We start from the raw sequence: 16,419 nt of genomic DNA, 5'->3' as shown, positions 1-16,419 counted from the left end.
TGGCCAACTTAAAAAATATTTTTTTTAGAGGCAGAGTCTCGTTATGTTGCCCAGGCTGGCCTTGTACTGCTGTGCTCAAGTGATCCTCCCACGTTGGCCTCCCAAAGTGCTGGGATTACAGGCGGGAGCCACCACACCAGGCTGGAAAATCTCTGATGGGGCTGCTTCTGCTCTGGGAGCTGCCTGCTGAAAGAGAAAGGCCGGGTTTCACTCAGTCAACTTGCCTTCCTTTCTTTGAGTTTGGCACAGGGAAATACCAGCTCCTCAGAACTGGAGATGCATGGACTTTGCAGTTTTTAAGGAGAATGACTTATTCTCAGAGATGAGTTATCTACTTCAGTAACCATCTTGAGCATTCCCTGGAAGCACCAAAGCCTTACAATTACCCGTGTAATTTCTTGGCGTGTTTGGTGAAGCCTGAGTCATCCCAGGAAATATCCTGGGTGTTTATTCTCAAATGCTGAGATTTCATCCTCAAGTTTTGAGCTGCTCCTTCAGGAAAGCTTCCAGTTTTGTAGTTCTCAGTATAAAACCGCAACCTGTAACTGCCCAGGAAGCCCCCAGGGCTAAGCGGGGAGATGGCCAGACTCCAAGCAGATCCCCTAAGACCCCTGCAGAGCTGAGCTGGGGCAGTGTGGGGTAGGAGGAGTTGGGTTCTGTTTGAGCCAAAGAGAGTTAACTGCCAAAATCCTCAGCAAGGTTTCCTTCTGAGAAAAAATAAAGAAGCCTGATTGGAAAGAAAGAGGATTTGTAAACAGCTAAGATCTGCGGTTGCATCCTGCTACACTGAGAACATCCTAACATTTCAGACACAAGATCGGGGCTCTCTGCTGCCATTTGAACTGGCTTGGGATAAAATAAAGGTTGTGCTTTCATATTATGAGTCATATGGCTCTGCGAGCTGGAGCAGAGTCAGTTACCCTCGTGAAGACCCATGTTCCATCCCTGAATTACTCAGGACAGCTAGCTCTCCAGGACTGGGACTTCTCATCTGGCCAAGCTCCTCCCAAAATTTAACACTCACCTTCCCTCTTTCTTCCCTTCCTTTCTCTTCCCTTCACTTGCCTTCTTCAGTCTCAAAAGGACATTAAGTGATTCCGGATCTGGATTTCAAAACGCTCTTAAACAACCAGAATCCAAGAGATAAATGGAACTTTAGAGGCCATCTAATTTAACCTCTTTGTTAATTCTGAAATCTTCAAGGGTCTAGCCTCTGACAAACACCTTCATGATAGGAAGACCATGATGATACAAAGCAATTCATTCTCTTTGGATGACTCTATTATTGTAGAACTGATTTTCATATTGACTTTCTTATACTAAAGTCAGCCTCTCTGAAACTCATTTGTATTAACTCTTACTTTACAGGTCAGGCACGGTGGCTCACGCCTGCAATCCCAGTACTTTGGGAGGCCAAGGTGGGCAGATCACAAGGTCAGGAGTTCAAGACCAGCCTGGCCAACACGGTGAAACCCTGTCTCTACTAAAAAAAAAAAAAAAAAAAAAAACACAAAAATTAGCCAGGTGTGGTGGTACGTGCCTATAGTCCCAGCTATTCAGGAGGCTGAGGCAGGAGAATCACTTGAACCCAGGAGGCAGAGGTTGCAGTGAGCCGAGATTGTGCCACTGCGCTCCAGCCTGGGCCACAGAGCAAGACTCCGTCTCAAACAAAAGAAAACAAAACAACTCTTACTTTACCTCCTGGGGCAACCTAGCATAGGGCTACTCCTTCTCTATAGCAATCTTTCAGATGTTTGAAGAAAATTGCTATGAGGCAAGGTGATGTTGTGACTAAAGCATACAGTTTGGGTCTTGGGTGAGTCTCAGCTCCGCCCCTATTGATTGCGTGTGAATTTGAAAAAGTCCCATAACCTCATTTGCAAGTAGAGATACTACCCCCCATTGCAGGCAGTGTATCTATACTTCTGCAATGAGTGATCTCATATTGGTCTCTTGAACTTGGTACTGTAGGATATTTATACCATGGAAATTGGCAAATGCTACCAATGAGGGCTTTTTGTTTGTTTGTTGTTTTACCAGCACACCACTAACCATATCTCAGTTTAGTGGTAAGGATAAAATTAAGTTAGTGCAAGTAAATGTCCTTTGTGAACTATAAAGACCATAGAAATTATAGATACTAGTTTTTTGATAGACTGCCACAAAGTGGTCCTCAATCAGTCACACTCCTGAATTTGTACTTTTGTGTAGTCACTTTCTACATTCTTACTTTGGCTGCTCTTGTGAGTTTCTCAGTCCAGTGGAAAGCAACAGAAATTCTGAGCCCGGGCTTTTAGAGCCCTGTAGCAGCCACTTTCACTGTCTTGCTGCCTTGAGAAGTCATGAAGTCTAGGCTAGCCTCCCTGAGTATGAGAGGCTCTGTGGAGAAGAATGGTGAAAGAACATGAGAAGGGATGTGCCCATTCCAGCTGAGGCCATAGATGTGTGAGTGAAGCCATCAGGGCTCCTCCAACCCCAGTTGACTTACCAGCTGGCCCCAGATCTATCAAGGAGCCCAGCCAACACCATGACACCACATGGCACAGAGGAAAGCTCCCTGGCCCAGACTGCAGAACTGTGAACAAATGAACGGTTATTGTTGGTTTAAGAAACCAGGTTTTAGGCATAGTTTGTACATAATGATCAACGCGTATTACAGTTATTATCAGGCCCCTCCAAGTCTTCTCTTGTCCAGCTTAAACTTTCCCAGATCCCTGGATGGCATCTCGGTCTTCCTCTGGATGGGCTCCATTAACCAGTCCTGGGATAAACATGATGCTTGCTCCCAGAGCTCTGACCATACAGAGCTTGAGGGAATTCTGCCCTGTGCTCTGGATCCTAGATGAACACTTCAGTTGGAGGGCGAGCCACAGCTCTTGGCACAACAGCTCACTCTGTGAGCTCATTCTGAGCCTTTGCAGACAACTCAAACCCCCAGGCTGTGAAACTAGACCCTCCCATCCTGATATATTTTAAAATTCCCAAGTACAAGGTTTATAGTCATCACCACTAAACTTACCTTTTCATTTTAACTTATTATTTCAGTTTTTGAAAATCTGGACTCTGATTTGATTTTAAATTTTGCAACAACTATAGCATTTCCTTACATACACACATTCACTCCCACCCCCACACCCAAACTCACATCTGTCTAGACTCATGCACATCCAAATACACACAAACATCTATGCACATAAAAGGCAGAAACTCATTTCAGTTTTCATAGCAGCTATGGTGTCTTCTTAATAGTCATGGATCTTCGCAGTCAGCCTCCTGATTTCTTTCTCAGCCTCGTCTCCTCATCACTTCCAGTTTCGGTAGAAGAAACCACAACTCTAGTGACTTAACCAATTAGGGCTTATTTTTCTTAGACAAAAAGAAGCCCAGAGGTAGGGAGTCCAGGACCAGAATAGGGGTCCTGTGATGCCATTAGAGATCAGGTTTCTTCAGTTCTTCTATTCTGCCATGTTTTTCATTATTCTCATGATTTCAGGATGGCTGCTCTACCCTTAAATGTGGCATATGTGATCCAGACAAGAATGAGACAGAAAGGAAAAAGGGAAAAAGAAAAAAGGCAAGTGCTACTGAGTCTGTTCCCTTTTATACAGAAATTAACAGCCTTCCTGGAGCCCCTGCCCAGGAAACTTCTAGTTACATTCATTGTCCAGAACTGGGTCATGCAGTGACCCTGGCTGTGAGGGAATCTGGGGATATGAATATTTGTAACTGGGCACATTGCCACCCTGAGAAAAAATAACTGAGGTTGTGTTAATAAGAAAAAAATGGAGAAAGATAAAAAAAGAAAAGAAATGGAGAATGAATAATGAGTAGAGAACTAGCAGAGTTTGCCACATTCTCCCACACATACTATAAATCTGTATACCCAGATACATGCCAAATTTATTAAAAAAAGGTTATAGAAAATAAGGCAATGTGGTAGGTTGCAAAAAAAAAATAGTCAAAAATTCTCCCATTCCTGTACAAACAACTCTTTTCCATGTGACTTTGACATTCTTCTCATCAAGAGTCTATTTTTCCACTCTTTGATTCTGGGAAAAGCAACTTGTGACTGGCATTGACCAGTAGAATGTAACAAAAGTGATTCTATGTGACTTTCTAGCTCAAGAGGCCTTTCAACTTCCATTCTTGCCCTCTTAGAACTTGGTACTACATGTAAAGAATCCCAGAATAGCCTCTTTGAGGATGAGAGACCATACATAGAGAGAAACCCAGCCAACAGCCAGTACCAACCCCCAGACATGTGAGTGAGGTCATCTTAAAAGATCCAGCCCCATTCAAGCCTCTAGATGACAGTGGCTGCAGAAGTAACTTTAGAAAACCACCCTGCTGAGCCCAGCCCAAATGGCTGCCCCACAGAATCATGAGCAAATAAAATGGCCATTTCTTTAGATATTAAGCTGTGGCATGAATAATGACATAATTTATTTGTAGAGTACAAACAAAGTGGGTAATATTTGTGGTGGTGTTGGATCCTGGATTGACCCAGGTCTGGTTTTCAAACTTTGTTCATAGGAGCCCTGCGTGCAGGGCAACAGGAAAGCCAAACTAACAGCTCCCTAAGTCCCCTGCCCTCACCCATCCAGGGCACCTTGCCTCTATCCATTTTGCAGAATTGGGTCCTGCGTAAGATCTTATTTTTAAAAAAAGGTTGAATAGCCTCTCAACTGGATCACCTCTAAGTTTCCTTTAACTGTAAAGCTCAATGATCAGTCACAGAATTTTACTTGTTTTGGTAGTTGCATTCTCCCTGCCTCTCTTTCTGCTCCTTTTCCTTTGTATTTCATCTCATTCACCCACATCACAGTTCATCATGAAAGCACCTGGTGTTCTTCCATCACTTGCCCTGATTCCCCTCAGCCACCACCCACCCATCCACCCACATACTCAGCACCTGGCCTTATCCCTGCCCTTTGCAACCCTCCTTAACAGGGAGCAGGGCTTATGTTTCATCCTAGAAAGCCAAGGCTAAACTAGGAGAGGTGGCAGGGCCTGTGTAATTCTCAGAGGTACAGACTAGATGTTGTCATAAGTGAGAGCAGAGGGCTGGGAATGACACCTGCCCATGAGAGCCAGGAAGAAAGTTAAGTCTTTAATGGCTGACCTTTTCTAGAGCATTCTTTGTGCCGAGAGCCATGCTAGATGGTTACTTATCTCCCCAAATCCTAACAATCCCAGAAGATAACGCTTATCCTCTCACTTTACAGATGTAGAAACTGAGCCGGAATATCCAAAACAGGTCAAATTCTAGGACTGGTTATTAAATTTCAGGCACGTGCAGGCTCTCCACAACACCTGTACAGGTCATGCTCTGTGTAAGTTCAGTGGTTGCTTTCCTGGAGTTATGTGGTACAAACCTGCACAACCATACAATGGGGTACAAGCATAGTCCCTGGAGCCAGGCTGGCTGGCTTCAAATGTCAACTCCATTAATTAATAGCTTTGTGGCCTTGGGATAGCCACTTAACATCTCTGGGGCTCACTTTCTTTATTTGCAATGGAGGCAATAATGACACCTAACTCATAGGCTCTTTAAAATATGGTTTAAATAAGTTAATATTCGTGACCTGCTTAGAACAGTGACTAGCTACATAAGTGTTTGATTTGAAAAGAAAATAGCCTTCAGCTCTATAGCATATGACCCAAGTGAGGCCAGCATCCTTTCCTGGGATTGATTTTCAGAACTGGAGACAGGAAGCTCTTTTTTCTACTGGGATTTCTAAATTGGGACTTCTGGTGGCCATGATCCTCACCACGTGGCAAAGGCGTCTCTGCCGAAAGAGAATGAGGCCAACATCCAAAGACAGAGACAGGCAGGAAGGAGAGCTGGAGACAGAATCCTGGCAGAGTTCACTGGTCATTTTCTGTGATTCCTGCAGTCCCTCCTTCCATTCTGTGACTGCCCAGGAATCCTTCCCAGCACCGGGAGCCTGTCAGCCTCTCTTTTTATTTTTGTTTAAATTGGATGGGTTTATCTTCCATCCCTTGTGATTGAAACAATCCAGGCTAATCAAGGCGCTTTAGATCAGGGGTTGCAAAATCAAATACCTTCAGGAGTCAGGGAAGTCCTGTGTGGGAAATCACGTTTGATGGCAATGAGTATACAGAGAAACGTTTTTCCACTATAAGAATAAACAGCAGTGCACGTGCAAGGTCAGGATCACCTGGCCTCTTATGAGGGCTGTCACAGGGAGCGGTGGAAAGTGCAAACTTGTGAGTCATTCACTCTATTTAAAAGGCCCAGTCTATTTGGCCACGAGGGCCTGGGGTACCAATACCTACTGTTTCTCCAAAAGAAGCCATGAATCTGCGACTCCCAGCTTATAAATGTTGAATCAACCTTTGCTCAATATTGTGCAACACATCTGCAAATTGAATGTGTCCCCAGGGTTGCAGGTTATCACAGAAGCTGGTCCAGTTCCAGGATTTCCCATAAGGAGGAATAACCTAAGAGTCTAAACAGAACCAGAGTCCTGGGACTGCAGGTCTTGGATTCCGTCTCTGATGGAGGCTTTCTAGATTTCCCTGCTCCACTCCCACATCAAAGCTGGCCCCTTTGTAAAGGGATTCCTCGTCATGGCTAGTGGACCAGTCCCCTCCTCACCAGCGCCCTCAGCTCCTCAATGTGCCTTCTTATCCTCAGGCTGTATTTCTCTGTGTGTGTTGTGGGGATAGTGGTGGTGTTTATGGTGCTAATAGAAGAGGCCTGCCAGCCAAAAATGAACCCACAGCAATTTGATGCTCCAGTTCTGCTTGGGATTTTATAGCTCATGTAGCTGGAACTTGGGTACCCAAGACCTGCTGACCTGCTGCAGGAATGCTAATGGCGAATCAGGCAAAGTGACAGAGAGGAAGGCTTTTCTGGAAGTCTCTGAGGGCAGACCTGGGGGCAGCCATAAAAGACCTATCCTGTCTTGCTGAATCTTTAGCTCTGCTCTACAGAAGCACTGCTGCTTAAAATAAGACAGAGTGAGGGCCAACACCGACTTTAATGGGGGAGCAGCAAGTCAGCATTTGGGGCTCACTTTGGAAGGCTCTTTTCTTGTGCTCTTCTTTCAAAAATAAGGAGGAGAAGCCCCTTGTGATGGTCCAGCTTTTGTCGATGCTGAAGGAAACAGCCAAGATGGAATTCTCTGAGAAAGACTCCAAGGGTTTGGAGGCAGGGGTTGTTTCTATGTGAAAATGAAAAGAGATCCTGAGACTCCTTGCAGAAAGAAATGAGGGGAGAGTGAAGCCAAAGGGAAAAGCTGTCAATTCCCCTCCCCCTCAATTTGGAGACCATGAAGAGAGAAAGCAGCCATGGCTCTGCCCAAGGCAGACACATTTCTGCTTCATTCACCTGGTGACTCGGGGGGGTGTGGGCCAGGACCTGAGCGATGTCAAATATTCCTCAGCGGTCTCACCAAGACCATCCTCCTCTCATTTATTAAGCTAAAGAGTTGCTGGGGTTCCCGAGGAGGTTTTCAAATGCTGAGACCAGAAGAGAGAGCCCAGGGCTACATATGGAACTCCCTGAGGTTTTGCCCTAACTGAGAATCAATGAGGACATCAGCGCCCAGGCAGCAGGCTATCCCTCTGCCCCTCTTCTCATTGTGAGCTGTCTTAATCCATCACATAGAGCCTGGTATCAGTAGGGGTTCAAAGAATGCTGCTGAATTGAATTGGAATAAGACACACAGGAGGCTGGGCGTGGTGGCTCACGCCTGTTATCCCAGCAATTGGGAGGCTGAGGCAGGCGGATCACAAGGTCAGGAGATCGAGACCATCCTGGCTAACACAGTGAAAGCCTGTCTCTACTACAAATACAAAAAAAAATTAGCCGGGCATGGTGGCGGGCGCCTGTAGTTCCAGCTACTCGGGAGGCTGAGGCAGGAGAATGGCATGAACCCGGGAGTCGGAGCTTACAGCAGTGAGCTGAGATCGTGCCACTGCACTCTAGCCTGGGCGACACAGAGAGACTCCATCTCAAAAAAAAAAAAAAAAAAAAAAAGACACACAGGAAATGAATTCATCTCTTCTTTCAATAAGTGCTTATCTGAGTGGCCTCAGGACCCTCAATGGGTATTCTGTGGGAAGGGCACCCCTGGAGCTACCCTACTCAGTACAGCATTGCATCCGTGGTCCTGCTTAACTGGAGTAGGGATGGGGAGCTCTGGGCAAACTGGAAAAATGGAAGATAATCCCTAGGGAATGCAAAATCTTATCGCTGCTGAGGACACAGCTTCACATGAGATGTGGACACAAGTCAGGGAAGTGAAATCCACCTGCTGTCATGATTTTAGGGGATTTCAGAGTCTAGGTCAATGAGCCGACCAACAATCTAGAGTCTTAATTCCTTGACATCTGTAATTCCAGTGACATCTGTAATTCCTTTTCTGTATCATGGCCACCCTCTCCCAGGGCCTCAGTCTGCTTTCTCCTTGGACTTCACCATCTCACTGTCTATCCACTGCCTTCTGCCCAGGTAGCTGTCTCTGCTTTTTGAGACAATACCAATCCCCATCTCTGGACCCTTTGTTTCTGACCTATAACTCTTCCCCACCCTTTATGACTCCATCCAATATAGGTGTGAGGACAGTTGGGTCATTGGAACTGCACCCCATATCTTACCCCTTGTCTTAGTCTGTTGGGCTGTTACGACAAAATACCACAGACTAGGTAATTTATAAAGAACAGAGGTTTATTTTCTCATAGCTCTAGAGGCTGGGAAGTCCACGATCAAGGCACTAGCAGATTCAGTGTCTGTGAGGGCCTGTCCCTCATATGGCAACTTCTTCCTGTGTCATCACATGGCAGAGGAGGAAGACAGAGATGACTGCTGTGTCCTCACATGGCAGAAGAGAGGGAAGGGCAAAAGAGGCTTCGCAGGACTTCTTTTATGAGGTCATTAGTCCCATTCATAAGGAATCATGACTTAATCACCTTCAAAAGGCCCCCCTCTTAATACTATTCCATTGGCATTTAAGCTTCAACATGTGAATTTCAGGGGGACACATTTAGACCCATAGCACCCCTACACCTACCAGGAAGTCCCACACACACATTCCTGATTTCCAACTTTAGCTGAGTCCTCAGGTCCTTTAAAAGGGCCAATGACACCTGGAAGGAGGGACCTGAGGTGGGGATTATAGGATGAGAGGTGAAGTGGTGAGAGAAAGGGGCTCAGCCAGATGTGGCAGAGGGTGGAGGGTAGGGGAAGATGAGTATGGCCAGCAATGTCAATGCCACAAAAGGCCACGTGGGGTGAGAACTGAGGAGAGGCTGATGGGATTAACCTAGGTCACTGATGACCTTCTGCAGGCCGTTTCTGCAGAGGGTGAGGGCAGAAAGCAGGCTGCAGCAGGCTGAGTGGATGAGAGGTGAGAAAGTAGATCCACAGAGAAAGCCTTCTTTAAAGGCACTTGGCTGGGAATGGAGGAGCACGTTTAAAGCCTGGAAGCAAGTGAGCTTGGGGGTTTTAATGGCAGATGGACCTGGAATTGAGTCCATCCAGAACTTTAAGCACTCTTCAAGTTTCAAACTTGGCCAAGCTCACTTGGGTGAGCTTGGAAATGTCACTGAACTCCTTGCAGCTTCTTTCTCTTTTCTTTCTTCCTTTTTTCTTCCTTTCTTTCTTTTTCTTTTTCTTTCTTTTTCTTTCTTTTCTTTCTTTCTTCTTTCCTTCTTCTCTTTCTTTCTCCTTCCTTCCTCCCTCCCTTCCTCCCTGTCTTCCTTTCTTTTCTTTCCCTTCCTTCCTCTTTCTTCTTTCTTTCTTTCCTTCTTCTCTTTCTTTCTCCTCCCTTCTTTCCTCCCTTTCTGTCTTCCTTTCCTTTCCCCTTCCTTCCTTCCTTTCTTTCTTTCTCTTTTTTTCAGAGTCTTGCTGTGTTGCCTAGGCTGGAATACAGTGGTGGGTCTCGGTTCACTGCAGCCTCCACCTCCCAGGTTCAAGCAATTCTCATGCCTCAGCCTACTGAGTAGCTGGAGTCACAGGTGTGCACCACCACACCTGGCTGATTTTTGTATTTTTTGTAGAGAGGGGGTTTCACCATGTTGGCCAGGCTGGTCTTAAACTCCCGGCCTCAAGTGATCTGCCCACCTTGGCCTCTCAAAGTGCTGGGATTACAGGCATGAGCCACCACACCCAGCTAACCTCTGTTTCTTCATCTGTAAATGGAGAGGATGTCACCTACTTCATTGGATTGGTTTGAGGATTAATCAAGATAAGGCAGATTAATTACTATGCACCTGGCATGTAATAAGTACCTAACTAATCATCTCCCTCGTATTTGTGGGCTTATGGAAAGAAAGAAAAATAAAGGATTCTGGAGGGGATGGTAATTAGCAGGGCATGTTCTGCAGGAGATGGGAGAGGAGGAGGTCAGCCTCTGGAAGGAGGAGGAATGATTCTTCCTCTAAGACAGGAGGACATGAAGGGAAAGAGGAAGATGCAGATTAAATTGTGAGATGAAGTGGCCAGAGGTTGTAGAAATCCATGTCAGAAGGTCTCTCCCACAATCTGAGAATGAAGTCCTTCTCAGCCTTCAGTTCTCCAGGCTCCCTTTTACATCTTGACAATCAGATATTTTAAGAAGGTTGTCATGTCCGTAAATCATTTTTATAGATGAACATGAGTGGCTTCTTGTGCGGTGTGGTTCCCACACTTATACCACCTTTCTCTGGGGGTCCTTCCAGTTTGTTAAAATGTATCTTAAAACATGGACCCACAACTAAGCCTAATATTTTACAAATGGCCTGACCTGTGACAAACCCAGGGGGCTACTGTCTCCTCACTAGACACTCCTGACTCTGTGACACAATCAAAGTCCATTCAGGTTTCCAGCTGCCACATCAGGCCTTAGTCCACCTTGAGTTTGCAGTCAACCAAAATCTCTAAGTCAGTTTCACATACAACACCGTCAAATGGGATTCCTTTTTCCTTCGTCATTTCTTTTCTTCTTTTAATCACTAAGTACAAAACTCTACTTTCATTCCTTTAAAATTTTATCTTCATTTTGATCTATCCTTCTAGCCTTTCGGATTCCATTCTCCTGGCCCCAGAGGAGGAAGTTACATTTCAGACCTGTCAGGTGACTCAGCCCCACTGACACAAAGAGTCTTTGTTAGTTACATCCAGGTGCCTCCGATTTCCTTGGAGACAACCCGGGACTGTCCAAAGATGCTTTGATCCTTTTTAATATCTGTGAGGATGTGCAGGGAGATGGATGCTAACCTGGGCCAAAGATGTATAAGGCTCCTTTGGAGAACTGGAGGCCTCCCTGGGGAGCTGAGACACTGCCCTCAGAAAAGGTTCTGAGTAACATCTGCTTTCAAATCCAAAACCACTCTTGGGAAATGAGACTCATTGTATAGAAAAGGTGATACCCTTGCTGATAGCAAATGGAGACAAGACTTCTAGATGACACCTACTGGTGCTCAATGAGTGTTGAATGAATATAGAATGAATAAATTAGCAAATGAATGAATGAAACGTAAGTGTGGATGGTTTTGAAGCCCCCGTTGATCTGGGCCATACTTTGCTAGGTAGTAAACTTGCTGTACACTGTGGAGGTGCCCGACCCCGGGGTTGTGGTGGTGGCTGCCGAAGGCATGGAATGGAGGACACGAGTGACCAGAAATCAAAGAGCTGCCCTCAGGGTCTGGTGGCAGAGGATCAGGCTCTGGAAATCTGTGGTCTTCCTCCTGGTCTTTTGGCATCTTGTTTTACTCTCCTGTGGGCATTTTATTCTGCTCTCTGTCCCCCACTCCTCATTTCTCCTGAGAAAAGCTCATCTGAAGATGAATTCAAAACAAAACAGCCAGTTTGAAAAACTGGATGTTTCACTCTTATATTGCCAAGAAAGATTTGATGTAAGACCAGATGTCAGGGAGCTCTATGTGATTCACAGATATGACTGCTTCTAGCAGCTAGGAGTGCAAGGGAGGGAGGGAGCTGCAGGACACACATGCAGTTGCCTCATCTTGGAGAGGGGACACTGAGGCAGAGGCTCAGCTAGGAAGCAAGAGGTGACAGGAACAAACAGGAGGCACCACTGCTGCTGTTTCCAAGGACAGTGTGCTGCCCATGACCCCCCGAGCCTGGCCCACGTGACCCACATCACATCCTCACCATCTTCTAGGAGAAATGAGAGGATTTTAAAACCAGCCTTAGCTGAGTACAGTGGCTCATGCCTGTAATCCCAGCACTTTAGAAGGGAGGGCAGGAGGACTGGTTGAGGCTAGGAGTTTGAGACCAGCCTGAGCAACATAGCAAGACACCCATCTCTAAAACTAAACAAATAAAAGAAAATAAAAATTAAAACCAGCCTCTTCAAAGACACAATTATAGGCACTCTGCCTATGGAGTAGCCATTCTTTATGCCTTTACTTTCTTAATAAACTTGCTAAAAAAAAAAAAACAAAACACATTTACAATTATAAATTGTGGGAGGCAGGAACCCAGATTCTTACCTTGATTATTTTTTGCTTTGGTTTTTTTTTTTTTTTTTTAGACGGAGTCTCGCTCTGTCGCCCAGGCTGGAGTGCAGTGGCATGATCTCGGCTCACTGCAAGCTCCGCCTCCCGGGTTCACGCCATTCTCCTGCCTTAGCCTCCTGAGCAGCTGGGACTATAGGCGCCTGCCACACACCCAGCTAATTGTTTGTATTTTTATTAGAGACAGGGTTTCACCATGTTAGCCAGGATGGTCTCAATCTCCTGACCTTGTGATCCGCCCATCTCAGCCTCCCAAAGTGCTGGGATTACAGGCGTGAGCCACTGTGCCCAGCCTCTTATTTTCTTTATTAGATTGTAAACTCCTTGAGGGCAAGGACAATGTCTTATCTCTGTGATCCTTCAGAGTGCTTATATCCCTTATACATAGTAAATGCATCATAAATATCTAATAATAATGGCTTCTCTTACCCAGAATGTCCAGGCACTTGTTTCACTAATATTTGCTGAGCCCCTACCATGCTCCAACCAGCACTTTAAGCACTCTGCAAGTGTTAACTAGTGAATGTTGAGGTGTTGAGGTTGGGTTCCTTCCCTGAAGATAGTTTTGTCACATGGTTGTTAATGACCTGCAAAAGCAGTGTTTTTGCTTTGGAGAATCCAGTTACAGTGCTCCTGAGCTGCAGAAGGAGCTCTGAGACCCAACAACCTTGTGTGGAATTCCACAATTCTCTTATTCATAAACGGACCCTCTATATAGACTGGTAGTGAAACATATCAAGAAACATTTCCCACTTTAGTTTTTCACGAAGAAAGCCGCTATTGTCTCATCTCAGCTGAGATGGGGTCACGCAGGGACGCAGCTCCCTTGCCTGATCTCTGACTCCCTGGAAGTTTCCTAAAATGTTTCTGTGGGCCTAAATCCTTGTAAGTCCAGCTGTCTATGAGGCATTGAGATGGGATTTGAGACCTTACTCCCTGAGGGTAGTGATCTCTAAATGGTCAGGATGGAGAACGACCCCAGGTGGTCCCAAGCCATTCTCTCAGCATTTATAACAGGAGGGTGTCTTTACTGATGTGTCTGGAATTAATTATTCTTTTCTTTTCCACAGTGGCCTTCATTGGCATCACCAGCACTGGAGCTATTCCAGTGAGGATTTTTGCTGCGGCACATCACGGAGTGGCATGAGAGGTCAGAGAACTCCTAGTATCCCCCAAATATCCATTCTGTTCTTCTTCCTTAGTGATGGGCCCCCGACATGAAACTGGCACTCAGAATGAAGAATGCCTTTTCCAGCCTCCCTCGCTGGTGGAGTCTCCGTGTTCCAGCCAATGAAGTAAGTGACATGGCATGTGCAGTGTGGGGAGAGAAGAGGGGAGGGAAAGGAGTCATGGAAGGTTTATGCCAAACGCCGAGGATGGGGAGAAAGCAGGATAAAGAGATCCTGGTTCATGACAACCTCAGGAAGACTAAGTCCAGACTTCATTCACCTGAGAAGGAAATACACTTCTATCTTTGTTTAGACCATTTGGAGGCAGAAAGTAGGGTCTTTAAAAGCTGAATCCAATTCTCACTGGCACCTAGGTAGGGCATGCAGTTGCCTGCCCCACTGAAGTCAACTTCAGCCTGAAGATTGGGAGACTTCCGAAAGTGGAAAACTTGGAGTAAGTGTGGGTCGGGATCCAGATGCCAGTCCCCATGGCCTCTGCTGAACAACTCTTGGAGTGGGGAAATTCAAACATGGAAGGGATCCCTGGGGAGAAAACCTCACTATTGTCCCAAAATTCTGCATGACTGGAGTGAGTCTCTCAGAGTCTCTTTTTCAAGGCCGTGTTGCTAAAAGCACAGTGGAGACAGATCACCTAGCTATGATGAAGGAAGGGGAATGGTTTTAATAAAGAGGGAAAAAGTGGAAGGCAGTGTTTTTTCTTTTTTCTTTTCTTTTTTACTTTTTTTTTCTGAGACAGAGTCTCGCTCTGTTGCCCACACTGGAGTGCAGTGGCATGATCTCAGCTTACTGCAAGCTCCACCTCCCAGGTTCCAGCCATTCTCCTGCCTCAGCCTCCCGAGTAGCTGGGACTATAGGTGGCCGCCACCACACCCGGCTAATTTTTTGTATTTTTAGTAGAGACGGAGTTTCACCGTGTTAGCCAGGATGGTCTCGATCTCCTGACCTCATGATTCGCCTGCCTCGGCCTCCCAAAATGCTGGGATTACAGGCATGAGCTACCATGCCCGGCGGAAATACTTTGCTTTTTAAAAATTTTATTTTATTTAAAAATTTTATTTTTAGGCTGGGTGTGGCGGCTCATGCTTGTAATCCCAGCACTTTGGGAGGCTGAGGCAGGCGGATCACCTGAGGTCAGGAGTTCGAGAACAGCCTGGCCAACGTAGTGAAACCCTGTCTCTACTAAAAATACAAAAAAATTAGCCGGGCGTGGTGGTGCATGCCTGTAATCCCAGCTACTCCGGAGGCTGAGGCAGGAGAATTGCTTGAACTCGAGAGGCGGAGATTTGCAGTGAGCCGAGAGCGTGCTATTGCACTCCAGCTTGGGTGACAAAGGTGAAACTCCGTCTCAAAAAAAAAAAAATTATTTTTAATTTACGTATTTTTAGAGATGGGGTCCAGCTATGTTGCCCAGGCTGGTCTCAAACTCCTGGCCTCAAGTGATCCTCCCTCCTCAGCCTCTCAAAGTGCTGGGATTACAGGCTGGAGCCACTGTGCTGGTCACACATTGCTTTTGATTGCTAGAAACCAGTTTATACTTCAGACTTGAGCCAGCTGGTGATCAGTTCTCTTTAAATTGCAAATGATATAAACTCCAATTCAAATGGACTTCAGCAAAAAAGATAATTCATCAGCACATATAACTGGAAGTTCAGGGGCTTCACATACTGCTGAATTCGGGTGCTTCGACCGGTCATCAGGACTCAGCTCTCAGAGTTGCCTTGTCTCTGTGGCTCTTCCTCTCCCGAGAGTGGCAAGATGGCTACCGGCATCCTTAGGGTCACACTGGAACAGGTTAGAAGTTCCTGTGGAAAGCTAGACACTTTCCCAATAGTTACAAATATTACATACATATATATACAAAGCGTCCTGGGACTGACTCATTTAACTGACACGTACCAGTCCCTGAAGGCCTTGTTGATTGGCCAGGCCTGGGTCAGTCCTGAATCTGGGTGGGGTCAGCCTCACCAGAACAGCACAGTGAGTTTGGGGGTAGGGGGACGGAATATGCAAAGAAAAGCCAGGACAACACTAAGCAGACAAAATAAAGGTTTTTTTTTCCCCCTATTACAACCAAGGCCACCTGGATTTCATAATTCCTGCCCAGGAGGCAAACCTGGCTCACTAATTTCAGTGTTCTTTATTAAAGACACACACAGCAGAGACAGAGGAAGAGAAACCAGAAGAGGGAGGTGAGGATGGAGCCTCTAAGGGCAAGAATGCATTCTTTTTTTTTTTTTTGAAATTTTGTTTTCGTTTGAGACAGGGTCTCACTCTGTCACCCAAGATAGAGTGCAGTGGCACAATCACAGCCCACTGCAGCCTCAACCTCCCTGGGTTCAGGCAATCCTCCCACTGCAGCAACCTCCCCAGTAGCTGGGACTACAGGTGCATCCTCATGCCTGGCTAATTTTTGTGGTTTTTTTTTTTTTTTTTTTTAGAGATGGCGTTTTGCCATGGTGCCCAGGCTGGTCTCAAACTCCCAGGCTCAAGTGACCCACCCACCTTGGCCTCCCTAAGTGCTGGGATTACAGGCATAATCATGGCACCCAACTGAGCGCTGCAAGGGTCTTTTCCAAGCTGAGTGCTGTAAGGGTCTGGGTTAGGCAAGGAAGACACTAAGGGTGTGGCCACTTGCTGTACAGTGGAGCAGGGGCCTTAGAACTACATAGAAGAATGCAAGCAAGCTCCCCCTTTCTCTGGAGAAACAGCATCTCTATTTTCCAAGCATACATGCTATACC

General features: G+C 46.0%; 1 long non-coding RNA gene across 1 annotated transcript in view, besides 2 other annotated features; it reads left to right on the top strand.

Moving 5' to 3' along the window:
- LINC01599 (long intergenic non-protein coding RNA 1599) overlaps positions 1-16,419 on the top strand; it is a 97,731-nt gene that overhangs the window by 80,326 nt on the left and 986 nt on the right. Inside the window, exons 7-8 of the long non-coding RNA NR_131171.1 lie at positions 13,692-13,784; positions 14,033-14,112. This is a non-coding gene — a long non-coding RNA (long intergenic non-protein coding RNA 1599). The remainder of the gene's footprint in view (positions 1-13,691; positions 13,785-14,032; positions 14,113-16,419) is intronic.
- Positions 3,290-3,349: a silencer, noted in NCBI's record as "silent region_5716". NCBI's record gives its function as "represses an Ori minimal core promoter by ATAC-STARR-seq in GM12878 lymphoblastoid cells {active_cell/tissue: GM12878}" and the evidence as "EXISTENCE:reporter gene assay evidence [ECO:0000049][PMID:35858748]".
- Positions 14,860-15,360: an enhancer, noted in NCBI's record as "H3K4me1 hESC enhancer chr14:50476076-50476576 (GRCh37/hg19 assembly coordinates)". NCBI's record gives its function as "activates a minimal SCP1, AML or CMV promoter by ChIP-STARR-seq in naive H9 embryonic stem cells {active_cell/tissue: H9 hESC(naive)}" and the evidence as "EXISTENCE:reporter gene assay evidence [ECO:0000049][PMID:30033119]".

This window comes from Homo sapiens, chromosome 14 (assembly GCF_000001405.40).
Source record: "Homo sapiens chromosome 14, GRCh38.p14 Primary Assembly".
Classification (NCBI taxonomy): domain Eukaryota; kingdom Metazoa; phylum Chordata; class Mammalia; order Primates; family Hominidae; genus Homo; species Homo sapiens.
The sequence above is the reverse complement of the archived record's forward strand: the minus strand, read 5'-3'. Positions and strand labels throughout refer to the sequence as shown.